This window comes from Homo sapiens, chromosome 3 (genome assembly GCF_000001405.40).
Source record: "Homo sapiens chromosome 3, GRCh38.p14 Primary Assembly".
NCBI classification, from domain to species: Eukaryota; Metazoa; Chordata; class Mammalia; order Primates; family Hominidae; genus Homo; species Homo sapiens.
The window spans coordinates 62,789,987-62,803,745 of record NC_000003.12 but is presented as its reverse complement, the minus strand read 5'-3'; the positions used below and the strand labels follow the sequence as shown (position 1 = coordinate 62,803,745).

Below are 13,759 nucleotides of genomic sequence, written 5' to 3'. Positions count from 1 at the left end.
TTACTATCTGTTAACATTTAGAGTGCTTTTTCTATGGGCCAAAAACACTTTACAGATGACAATGCTAACACTCACATTCACCTTGTGAGATAAGAATGATTGTTATACCCACTTTTACAGATGAAAAGTGGAGGCACAAGGAGGGTAAGGAACCCAGGATCATATAGTTATATATCAGGGTTTCTCATCTCCCCACTGTTGACACGTGGGGCAAGGGCCATCACGTTCATTTTGAGATGTTAGGCAGCAACACAGCCTTCTACCCACTAGATGCCAGTAGCAGTCTCCCCCTCACCTCCAGTTGTGACAGCTAAAAAATATGTCCAGACTTTTCCAAATAGCCCTGAGGAAGAGGTGAGCAAAATCCTCTCTGGTTGAGAATCCCTGCTATATAGAAAAAAAAAAAAAAAAAAGGAAGCATCTCAAATGCCATTATTCAGTAATGCCCCTACCTTAATGTCTTACAGGCTCTTTAATAAGCTTTCTCTGTGTTTTCAAGGATCATTCGTCTCAGATCAAGGCTTCTCTCCTTCCCCAGCTAGTGGATACTTGATCTTGTGGATCTACCCACTCAGTAAATCACCCAGCAGGTGTAGCAATGTGGAGTTGCATGGTTCAGCTCTCCTATGCATTAAAACACATCTTGAAGGCAGAATAGTGGAGGTTGCTAAGAGGAGGCAAAGCATAGAAGAGGCCAGTGTTCTGTGCCTCAGCCCTGTCCTTTCCTAAGTGTTCTTCTTGCTCATCTCAGAAGCCTACTCAGCACTACTAGGTGACTGCCTTCTAAGTCTGAAAACTAGTGCCTCTTAACAGTGTGGACGTATTGCTGGAAATGACCTATTTGGGGACACAGAAAAATGCCTCTTTTCTCTGGATCAACATTCTGAACCAGACCAGAGAATAGTAGGAAAGAGCAGGATGGCTGGGAATTGCTTAGTTGACCCTTGGGAAAGATTGTACACCATAATGAACTAACTTCAGTTTCCTGATTTGAAAAACTATGAAGGTGTCAAGCATTATGAATGTCCACTGGATAAGTAATCTATCAGTGTTTGTTTATTCATTCAATTCATTCAATACCTGGGATTTTAAAGGTAGATTTTGAGCTCTTTTCACTTTGAAACCACCACCTTCATCCAGGGTCTCTAAATCGACCCTCATCGAAATCCATCAGCCAGAGATTCACTGATTCATTCAATTAAAATGTTTTAGGTGCCTATCACTTTGAAGATGCTGGGCACCTGTTAGAGAGATTAGGAGAGGTTGACCTAATCTTGAAGAGGGGTGAGTGGGAGGTGGCTCAGTGAATATGAAGGCTGTTTAGAGATTTGAAGAATGAGTAGAAGTGAATTAGGTAAAGAAAGTGGTAAGAAGGAAAACATTCCGGGCAAAGAGTACAACATTTACAAAGAGCCAGCAGACAAGCTGGTTTTGTAGGTGCAGAATTTTTGGACAATATTTCAAGAAACTCATGAGAGTGTGTTTTACAGGTATGTAGGTTTGTGTGTGTGCACATGTGTGCATGTGTGTCTTAATTTGGCATCATTATGCACTGTCCACACTCCATAATACTAGGTTATAGTCAAAATTTGGCTTGGCCTTATGTGTCCTGTGGCTTAATCATGTTCCACTGATATATATTATTTGCTTACACAGAACAGACTTTTGCTGTGTAGGTCAGCTTTGGGAGGCAAAGCTGCCAATCTGAATCTTTCTCCTCACAAAGACTTCACTGGATAGAAACCACAAAGCAATGTTTAAAACAAGCAAAGTGTGCTAAAACAAAGAGTGATGTCTGCACAATTGTGTCCAACAAAATAACTATAAAGAAAAAAATTAAGATTCAGGAAAATCTAGACAGGCTCAATGATTACAACAGTAGAAAGAACATACATTTTGAGGTCAGAACCACCTGGGTGTAAATCTCACCTTCACCTCCCTCATGTGTGACCCTGAACAAAGTAGCTTCACTCAGCTGGGCCTTTTTTTTTAATCCGTAAAACGGGGTAATGACACCTGCTTCACAGGTCAATTTAGGAGTAGAGATGATTTGTGAACAACACCTGGCACATATTGGCGTTAAATAAGTGGTAGCTACTATTATGGTTATTAATATCAAATTAAAATCAAACATTAATATCTAATTTGCTGGATTTAAAACATGGAACCACAGATTTCATTTACAGCTTCCTGATAGCCACAGCACAACAGGAAAGTCACATATTTTTCCTGAATAAAAGCATAAAAATTCCTTAAGGAAAGACAAGATTATCTGGGACCTTATGCATGAAATAATGTTTTTCCTGGGTTTTCATTGAGGTCTCACTGAGAAACATAGGAGATGATATCTTTAACATCATCCCTATGGCAAATAAATATAAATTCTATGTGCTTATTTCTTTTTTTAATCTTTCAGAGTAAGCCAAAGTCATAAAACCAAAGAACAGTTGTGGGGCAGAGATTATTTCTAATTCAACTTTAAATCTGCCAAAAAATTCTTGCATCAATGGCATTTATGGAGTAGATCATCTGTTCTTTCTTTTCTTATATTATAAGCACATATTTCACTAGTGTTCTTGAAGCACTATCTGTTAGTTAAGCCTCTCAGTAATTCTTCAAGGTTTGTGGTATAATGCCCACTCTACAGATGAAGAAACAGGTTCACAGTCCAAGGTTAGTCACCACACTAGCAAGTGGGGAAACCAGGACTTAAATCAAGATCCATTTGACTGACTTGACTCTACTCTTACCATCTACCCCAGCCTACCACCTTAACAAATGTAGCTAAGCTCTGTTTTCCCCTGATGGGAAAATAAGGGTTTTGTATAAAAATAGAAAGAAGGAAAATTAAACTGGGGGCTCTAGGTGTAAAATTGTTTTATTACTAAGACATCGAGAACGAATGTTTTGTAAACGCGTTTTCTGGGAAAGATGTTTTAATCTTTTTGTTGTTGTTTTGGTTTATTCCAAACCATTTAACTAAAATGACATAGATAAAAAGCATATTAAGAAACACATTTAACAAAATCATGGCACTACAATATACATACCAAATTGCATGGGTGGCTCTGATTTTGAATTCTGTGCCTTCAAAACCCAGCAGAAATAAATGAACATGTTTATATTAACAAGGATAACGCAAATCTGTAATCTGTAATTTAAACATATTTCTATATTTAATAAGTCATGTTAACTCACATTCAGTAAACACACAGTAAACTCACATTTAAAATATCTTCCCAGTAAATTTAGTTTTCATTTTTTCTACATGATTCTGGAAAAGCATATAATAAATTAGTCATAGTCTGTATATAAAAGTCAAATGATTAGTACCTTCAAAGGGAGTGGTACCCCTGAATCATAAAAGGAGTTTCACTTAGGATGATGACCTTAATATTTGCTTTCAACATTTTTTTCACCCAAAAGAATGATGATGATGATGATGATGGTGATAATGATGATGACTATCATTTTAAAGAACTGAGAAGGGTGTACAATTTTACTCCACTGAGCTTCCTAAATGCTGGCAGATGACACGAAACTCCTGTGAAAGTGACAAAGGACTGTCCTACTCACAGCACAGCAGAGGGCATGTGCTTTCTGTTGGCACCCATTTCCCCTGTTCCCCAAGTCCTGGGGGGTAATTTGGAGGAGCCCAGGCAGATCCCACAAACAGTGTGGGTCTATGTGACAGCTAAGGAACCCTGAGCTTAGGAAAGCCCAATCTTATAAGGTACTGCTAGCAAACCTGCTCAGGAGAGAAACATTATCCTTATTATCCTAGTCAGGAAACAAATCTTCCCTCTGCCCTGCAGAGAAGCTCTATCTCTACTTTCCAAGACTGTTTGACATGTAAATATCCTTGAAAGGACAGCCAAGAATGAAAGTGGTCAAAGAAATGTAGAAATATCATGGATAATCACTTTCCAACTGTGATGGTGGTGGTGGTGGTAACAGTGGCTAACATTTATTGAGCTCCCATTTCCCAGGCATAATCAAGCCCTTTGCATACATAATCTCATTCAACCCCATTATAAACCCCAAATTATACAGTTTGTCTACACTTATACATTAAAAATAGCTGAGGCTCAGAGAGGTTAAGCAACTGCCCCAGGGTCACATACACAGAAACTGGAAGAGCCAACACTTGAGTGCAGGTTGATTTGACTCTAGAATTTGTGCCTGTAATCCTAACATTATCTTGCTGCTTGACAAAATGTATTTAGACCTGAATGTATTCCATAGAGGAAACAAGTTATTTAAAAATAGAGATAAATTTAGGATCAGTCTGTGAAGGTATAATTTTTCTCACCAAGATATCAAGGAAGAGTGTTTCATAGGTGAACTTGTTGAGCAAGTAGGTGACAGAGCCGATTTGAATCTAGGTAGTCTGCCTCCAGAGTTAGAGCACACCAACAGGCTACATGGCTAACACTGGACAGAGGCACCCTCGGCTACAAAAGCCAGAATCTAGAGTTAGCTCTGAACCAGTAACCCCCTCATTTGGGTCTTAACCCTTTTGTTTAAGAAATGCACAGTTCCTCAGAGCACCCAAGTAAAGTGCTGTCAACAGTGGTGGACAATCTGTGAAGCACAGTCTGTGAAGCATTACTCTTCTCCTGGAGAACATGGGCAAGTTAGGCACACATGACACACATATGCTGTCTAGAGGAGGGTCACCACAACAGGGTGCTAGAGGATGACCATCAGGTAAAGCTTGGACAAGCAGCTCTATAGGGTAATACTAGGAATGGCTGCTGAAGTTCATGCCAAAATATCTGCTGATGTCTAGAGAGACTCATGGCAGTGGGTTCTCCATCAGTACTTGGGAGCTTCTGTTGCTTTAAGAGCCAATACAGGTCATTCATTCTTTACTCAACAATTTCTTAATGAATGTCTCCTATATGTGAGATCCTTGTTCATAATCTGGTATGAATACTGACAAGCCTGTTACTGGGATACAAAGTGAAACATTGTGTAAAGAAGCTATGTGGAAAGATTAATGAGAGGAAGCAGGAAAAAGTACCTAACACATCCTAGGGATATTGAGGGAAGCTTCACAGGGGTAACATTTGGGCTGAACTTTAAAAGATGAGTAGAAAATTCATCTCCCTGTTTGTATTAGTATTCTCTAGAGGGACAGAACTAATAGGATAGATGTGAATCTGAAGGGGAGTTTATTAAGGATTATTGACTCACACAATCACAAGGTGAAGTCCTACAATAGGCCATCTGCAAGCTGAGGAGAAAGGAAGCCAGTCCAAGTCCCAAAAACCTCAAAAGTAGATAAGCCAACAGTGCAGGCTTCACTGGTGTAAGCCCAAGAGTCCAAAAGCTGAATAATTTAGAGTCTGATGTTCAAGAGCAGGAAGCATACAGCTTCCTGCTGGAAGGAGGATGAAGGCTGGAAGATTCAGCAAATCAAGTCCTTCCACGTTCTTCTGCCTGCTTTATCTTAGCCACACTGGCAGCTGATTAGATGGTGCCCACCCAGATTAAGGATGGGTCTGTCTCTCCCAGTCGACTGACTCCAGTGTTAATCTCCTTTGGCACCACCCTCACAGACACACCCAGGAGCAATCCAATCAAGTTGACACTCAGTATTAGCCATCACATTGTTTATCTGCTTCATTGCGTTTATCTCAGTCTGGAATGTTTATTTAATGCTTACTTGTATATTGTCTGTCTGCCATGTCTTTCATACTCACTTTTGTATCCACAGCTCCAAATGTAGTGCCTAGAACACAGCAGATGCTCAGTATTTGTTGAACGAATGAATGAATGAATGTCAAACATTAAGTTTTGCATTTATTAGTTTTCATGGTCGTTTCTAAAAAATATATATGTTACATTTTTCAGTCTCAAAAGATTTTTTTGTTATAGATTACTTTCAGGAAACCTTTTATTTTTCTTTTTTTCTTTTTTTAACTTTTCAGTTCAGGGGTGCAAGTGCAGGTTTGTTACATAGGTAAGCTTGTGTCCTGGGGGTCAGTTACACAGATTATTTTATCTCCTAGGTATGAAGCCTAGTACCCGTTAGTTATTTTTCCTGATCCTCTCTCTCCTCCCACCTTTCACCCTCCAACAGGCCCCATTGTGTGTTGTTCTTCTCTATGTGTCCATGTGTTCTCATCATTTAGCTCCCACTTATAAGTGAGAACATGTGGTGTTTGGTTTTCTGCTCCTGCATTCGTTTGCTAAGGCTAATGGCCTCCAGCTCCATCCATGTCTCTGCAAAGGACATGATCAGGAAACCTTTTAAATTTGCCTTTCTGGAAATATCTATCTTCTCTATCAAACAGGAGATGAAGTGGAGTGAGAGTTGATTGGATAATTCGTTCATTATTCATTAAATATTTTATGGGCGTCTACTGCATGCAAAGTGCTGGGAGGGGAGCAGTCACACAGAAGGCAAGACTTGATCTCTACCCATGAGGAAACCAAACACCGTCACAGGACACAATTTATGGGCCCCCTATATAAGAAAGAACAAAACAAAGAAATGTAACTGCCATTCCTCAAGAAAAGAATGGGGTTAAAGGGCTATTTCATGGACACTCCCTGAGGAAAAAAAACAAAAAACAAAAACCATACAGTAACTCAAACTGATTTTCCAGGAGAAAACTTTTGGGTTGGATAATACAGGTTAACTCTGTGCATTAATTTCTCCAGACTGTCTCAATGCATCTCACTTCTCTTTTTCTCTTAGAATAAAGGAAAAAATATGCAGTTGGTAAAATTGTAAATATAAGCATGCTTACAGTTTTAAGAAAAATAAGGACTTAAGCTTCGCAATATTCTAGCATTTATTTAATTAGTAGGTGATTACTAAATACTAAATTATGGGAAGCAGTGTTTTCATAGCAATGATTTGTTTACCCAAAGAATTTCTGTCACACATTTTTTGATTCCAACATTTCCTACAATTATTCAATTTTTTTCCTCTCTGCAGCGCTAAAACACACATTTTATTAAGTAGTCTGGCTTATCTGCAAATATGCTGATCCTGAATGGTTATAAAATATTTATGCAGGTCATTTAAGTTGAATCAGAAATGGTTTCCAATCAGAGTGAAATCATCTCTTAGTTTAAGCAAATGATGCCCATATAAATAAGAGTTGCAATTATGCCCATGCCTAGACTCTCTCTGCTATAGGCCTTCTCCAGAAAAATTTTTAATGTCTTTTTAAGACATCATTTGTCTTCTTATGTAACTCCTTCACGGATTTCATCATCCTTTTTCTTAACTTGACCAGGTGCAAATTGCTGCCATTCATGAGCTCAAGAAAAGGAAGTTGTAAGCATGCTTCTTAAAAATTCAAATAAGCCACAGCATGGTAGCTTGTGACTGTGGTCCAAACTACTCCAGAGGCTAAGGCAGGAGTATCACTTGAGCCCAAGATCTCTGGGCTGTAGTGCACTATGCCAGTTGGTGTCTGTGCTGAATCCAGCATCAATGTGGTTATCTCCTGCTAGCAGGGACCACCAGGTTGCCTAAGGAGGGATGAATTGACCCAGATCAGAAACAGAACAGGTCAAACTCTTATGCTGTTCATAATGGAACTGCACCTGTGAATAGCCACTGCACTCCAGCCTGGGCAATGTAGTGAGACCCTGTCTCTTACGAAAAAATCCAATGACATAATACCTTCATTTTCCTGAATAAAACCTTCATAGCTCCTGGTTCTTACAGGATCAAATTCAAGCTTTTTAGCACATGATTCAAGACTTTCCATGACCTGGCCCATGCCATCCCTTCCTCACACTTAAACATCTAACATTTAATCATGTAGAGTGTCCCCACCATCATGATTTCTGTACCCCTGTTGATGTTGTTCCCTCCACCTGGAATATGGTCCCAGTCTTCTCTACTCTGTTACCTCCCATTGATCCTTCAGCAATCAGCTCCTTTTTCATGTCTTGCAGGAGGCCTTCCCCTACTATCCAAGTCTGGTTAGGAGCCCTTCTGTGGTCCATAATACCAGTAGTAGACAGAAGGTTCTGTGGAAATCATCTGTCCACATGTGGCTTGCCCAAGAGACTCAAAGTTCTTCAAGGGCCAGAATGTGTTTTATTCCTCTTTGACCTCCAATGTCTGGCACTTTGTGGGCACTCAATGAATATTTATTGAGTGAATGAATGAATGAGGGCCTATGAAGAAGAACCTGAAACAGAAAGTTGGTAAAGCGAGATGGACCTTAAAAATACAAGCCTTAGTAAACAAGAACGGTCTGAAGAATCCAGCTAATGTAAGGAGAAGCAAATTTATGTATTTGTTGATTTAATGTTTATTGAGTGTCACATGCTAAGATAGAATGTGCAGTGACGAACAAGAAAAACAAGGGCCCTACCTCATGGAGCTTACATCTAGGGCATATGCTAACAAGAGTATTTTTTTAATGGTAAGTACTCTGGGGAAATAGAAAATGTGAGGGTGATGAAAGGGTTGTAGTGGAAGAGATTTAGATTAGGAAGAGCAAGCCTCTTAGAGATGGTGATTTCAAAAATGATACCAGAAGGGTGAGGTTTTGCCAAGAGCTGGTGGGAGAGTATTCTAGTGTGTGCAAAGGCCCTGCAGTGAGACAAGAGATCAAGATTTTGAGGAAGAGGAAGTCTATTCGTATATAGAGATCTTTAATTATATGGCCATTTTCCGTCAAGAGAGATGGAGAGTCTGAGTTCTTAGGAAGATGTCAGTAAACATGAGTGGCTTGTGGGTAGCTCTGAGACCAAAAGCACTCAGCAGCCTGCAGAGAAAGGCCCCCTGAGAACCCATAGCGCTCTGGCAAAGAGACAGTGATCTGAATGAGAGCCCGCCACAGGATAATTACTGGCATCCACATTCTCCAAACTGATGTGCAAGACAAGGGAGAAATTAGATTTTTAAAAATTCTTTACCTAGACTACTGAGACCAGAATATTCATCAGGAAGAGCTCTTGCATTTTTTTTTTTTTTTTTTTTTTTTTACCACCTTGCGTCTGTCTTGTAAACATGAACAACAGATTCTCTAGCCCACAGAAACGTATCCGCGGGGCCCTCCCATCCTTAGGGAAAAAAGATGATGGAATGAGGGACATTAGCAATAGTTTTTGTTATAGTTTTCATTACCATCTACCATAAATACAATAACAAGAATAGCTAATATTTACTGATTATGATTATTTACTAAATACCTGTAACTATATCAAACATCTTATGCAGAATGGTTTACATGTGGGCTCTGGAGTCTGGCCTCCTGAGTTCGAACACTACCTGCTCCACTTACCAGCTCTGTTGTTTTTCTGCAAGTTACTAAATATATGTGTATTTATATCCTCATCTGTATAGTGGAGACAGGGAGCAGATAACTGCACATCCTGTGGACCACTGTGAGGAGTAACTAGGGAATATACAAAAAGTGCTTAAAGGAGCAGTTCATACATGCTGATGTAAATACAAGCTTCCATCACTACTTACTTAATTATTATAACAAATGTATCTAGTTGACACAGTTGTTATCCGCATTCTACACACAGGGAAACTTCAGAGGCTTTATATCATGTGCCAAGGTTTCATGGTTAGTAGTCACTGGCAGAGCTGGGAACTGAACCCAGACTGATTTTAGAGCCCAAGCTGTTACTCATCATTCCATCATATTTTTTATTTAAATTAGAGTTATCGCTGGATTCCACTAGTCCATTTATTCACATGTGTATCTTGGCAGATTTTGAGTGTATATTTTATTTGCTTGTTCATTTGAGAGGGTGAGGGATAATTGAGTTGGAAGCCCAAGGATCTTTAGTTTTGCCTGGACTTCTTGGCTCTAGGACACCCCAGGGAGTTCCACAGACCCCAACAACAAATTGGATGTTAATTGGAACTCTTTCTCTTCTAGGGATTTTCCACAGTGTTATCTGTAATTTATAACAATGATTTTGAGGAACAAAATCATCAAACAAATATGCATGCACGCACACATGTGCACGCACGTACACACACGCACGTGCGCACACACACATTCATACCATATGCTCAGGATGGTTTCAATTTTTAAAAAAATTGTATGTGAAAGTCCATGAATCTAACTATTAGCTCTCTTAAAAAACAGATTAATTACCCTCCAAAAGTAAGCCCATCCCTAATCAATATGAGATAACTGGTTTTCTGTAGCTGGGGTCAGGATGAGTCAGAGGAAAGAACCCAGTTACTTGGTACAGTCATTTTCCAGCAGTGGTTTATATCAAAAGGTCCACATTCTGGTTTAACTGTGATGCGGCAAAATGAGAAATGATGCTTAATGGAGTGATCTGCTGCACATATTAGCTCAAATGCTGAACGTCTTCCTCCAAACTCTTCTATAATTTTTAATTCAATTCATGGATAAATTTGGTCAACAGCACCGCTGAAACTGATTGTGTATAATTCAGGTCTGTTTTGGATTCCTTTGAAGAAGACCCAGTTACAAAGAATACCAAAAGGACCATATTTTAAATAAATAGTGATGCCACATTCTACACCATATTAAATTTTGTTTGTTAATGTTTCACAAGCATTATAAATACTTGTTGTCACTTGGCATTCATAAGTTCTTGCAGCATTTGGTCTGAAAGCTGAGCAAAGTAGGGGTAGTACTAATTTGTGAAGAAAAGTACTTCCAAACACTTCTTATGCTGACAAGTTTTAGGCAGTTTTTTAAACGGTCATTCATTACTGTAGTTTTCCCATTTTACAGATGAAGATATTAAGGTACAGAAAAGATTTAAAATGTGCTGCTAGGTGGCAGAACTGGGCTTCTGATCCAAGTAGTCTGACTGCAGAATCCATCCTTAAACCTTCTCCCAAAACTAAGTTATCAATAAATATTTGTTAGCTGTGTGCAGTGACTTATGCCTGTAATCCCAGTACTTTGGGAAGTTAAGGTAGGAGGATCACCTGAGGCCAGGAGTTTGAGGCCAGCCTGAGAAACATAGTGAGACCCTGTCCCTACAAAAAATAAAAAACAAATTGCCAAGCATGATGGCATGCATTTGTAGTGCTAGCTACTTGGGAAGCTAATGCAGGGGGATTGTTTGAGCCTAGGAGTTCAAGGTTGTAGTGAGCTATGATTTTGCCACTGCACTCCAGCCTAGGTGACAGAGTGTGACTTTGTCTCTAAAAAATAAAAAATAAGTTTTTTAAGTAAATTAATTATAATGCGAGCTTTCATTCAGAAAATATACCAAGATCCTGTGGCAGAGGACATGACATTTAAAAGTTAAACAAGGCTGGGCACAATGGCTCATATCTGTAATCCCAACACTGTGGGAGGCTGAGGCGGGAGCATTACCTGAGCCCAGGAGTTTGAGACTAGCCTGGCAACTTAGTAAGACCCTGTCTCTACAAAATAATTTAAAAATTAGCCAGGCATGGGGGTGCATGCCTGTAGTCCAAGCTGCTCAGGAGGCTAAGGTGAGAGGATCACTTGAGCCTGAGAGGTCAAGGTCAAGGTTGCAGTGAGCTGTGATCACACCATTGCACTCCAGCCTGGGCAACAGAGCAAGACCCTATCTCAAAAAAAAAAAAAAAGTTAAACACCTTCATTAGTCACATGAATTGACTCTCTTTTGACATTTTATATAATGAACAATATGTCCGTACTGAAGTGTTTTATCTTCCTACATGCTGATATTGATTAGAGTGGTGCATTCTTGGAGAATGAAGCCACATAAGATTCAGCATCTTTTCAGCATGGGCTGTAGTTAATACCCACATGTTCCACAAAGGTCCAGGTGGTTTAAGGATGTGAATCTCCTGCAGCTTCATTATAAGAGCCTTGATAAGTAAAACAACAGCAAAATGACAATTTATTGGGTACATGCTATATGCCAGGCATGTGCTAAGCACTTAAAGTACATTATCTAATTTAATCTTCACAAACTGTTTCTGTTTAAAGGATGGGGAAACAGAGAGGTAAACTATCTTGCTTAACGTGACACATTTAGGAAAGGGCATTGCCAGAACAGTTTGAAAGGTAATTATCTGCCATGCTGTACTGCATAGTGCACATTCCTATATCTTTTCCGTTTTCCTGCCGTGACTTATCCGGTGCCTGGTGCCATGAGCAGATACTGGTACCTGCTGACTTATTGAGAGATCATTTGGTTGCTTGATTGACTGATGCAATGAAATGGAAAGTTGAGCAATTTTCTCTAGAGCAATGCTTCTCATACATGAGTTTTCATATGAATCAACCTGGAGATCTTGTTAAAATGCAGATTCTGATTCAGTAGGTTACAATAGGGAATGAGATTCTGCATTTCTAACAATTCTGCATTTCTAGTAATTCCCAGATAATGCTGATGCTGCTGGTCCATGAGACATATTCTATATAGCAAGGCTGTAACCTGAGCTGCACAATATGGTAGTCACTAGCCACAGGTAGCTATTTCAATTAATTGAAATTAAATTCAGTTCTTCATTCACACTAGTCATATTGCAAGCACTAACTAACCACATGTAGCTATTGTCTACCATATTGTACAGTGCAGATATAGAGCACTTCTACCATTCCAAAAAGTCCCATTGCACTATACTGCTATAGAATATTCAGTGTGTATAGGAAAAGAATCTGCTTTAAGATTCCCAGTTACATTCATATCTCATTTAATGGACCTGGAATTTTGTCTCCCCTCTTGTTTTGTCCTAGTCATATGTAAGTCACTTGAACATTTGATGGGAAACAGAAATATTGCACAAAGAATACTGATAAATACGTATTTTTTTTTTTACTTAGGAGCCAACACATGTGCTTGAGGATAAAAAAAAAAGTCACCATTTTTAAAATAACACAGAATTATCATGACGGTAACAAAAGCATCAGAACTTTATTGAAAATATTCTAATTAGACTCAGAAAATATATGAGGGTGTATCTGCAAATAGACACTCTCTGGTCCCTTTGAATCACAATGTGACTTTTCTCCATGTGTAGCTTTGTTAAGAGCTGGACTTCCATGAATGCCCAAAGGTCTAGAAGCCATAGTCGTTGTCAATAGAGCAAGGAAAATAACTTTTGATCATTGACAATATCCTTAAAAATCACTTTTTCCAATCCTTTCATTTTATAGATGGGTAAAGGAAGGCTCAAACAGGAGATGTAATCTGAAGTTCTTGGTAGTTAGAACTGGTCCTAGGTGCAAAATGATATTTGCTGAACTAGTATGAATCTAGTTCTGTGACTCCCCACTGTACTATTTGCCTCTAAATGACAGTAATCACTGAAATATAGCACTGTTTACTTCCATTTCTTATACTCTTTCAAAATATATATGGAGACATTAGATTCAGAAACAAATATACATGGAGACATAAGATTCAGAACAAATGGTCTGGAATAGAAATGAATAGGGCTACAATATTTATAAAGTAATTTCTCTTGTATCAGTAGTACTTATTCATCATAGGAATTTAGAAAAAACAAATAAAAATGCATAAAATGTAAATCACCCACAATCCAGTTATTCAGAGATACTACTATAAAGTTGGTGATTATGTAGCCTTCTTATTTTTTCTGTGTCCATAATTTATAAAAATATATGTTGCATACTCTTTATGAACATTTTCCTGCATCATTTCATAAAATTCTAAATCATTTCTAGTGTCTGAAGTATTATTTCATTATATGATAATATCAAAAATCACATATTTTAAAGAATTTTAAGCCTTCTGATGAAAATTTGCAAATTTTCCTCCAAAAAGCTTGTATTCATGTACCTAAAAGACAATATATAAAAGTAAACTC

General features: G+C 38.6%; 1 protein-coding gene and 1 pseudogene across 51 annotated transcripts in view; both read left to right on the top strand.

The window, feature by feature from the left end:
* Window positions 1–13,759, top strand: part of CADPS (calcium dependent secretion activator) — a 477,069-nt gene that overhangs the window by 71,671 nt on the left and 391,639 nt on the right. The gene's annotated exons all lie outside the window — the stretch shown is intronic.
* Window positions 7,337–7,622, top strand: RN7SL863P (RNA, 7SL, cytoplasmic 863, pseudogene; annotated as a pseudogene).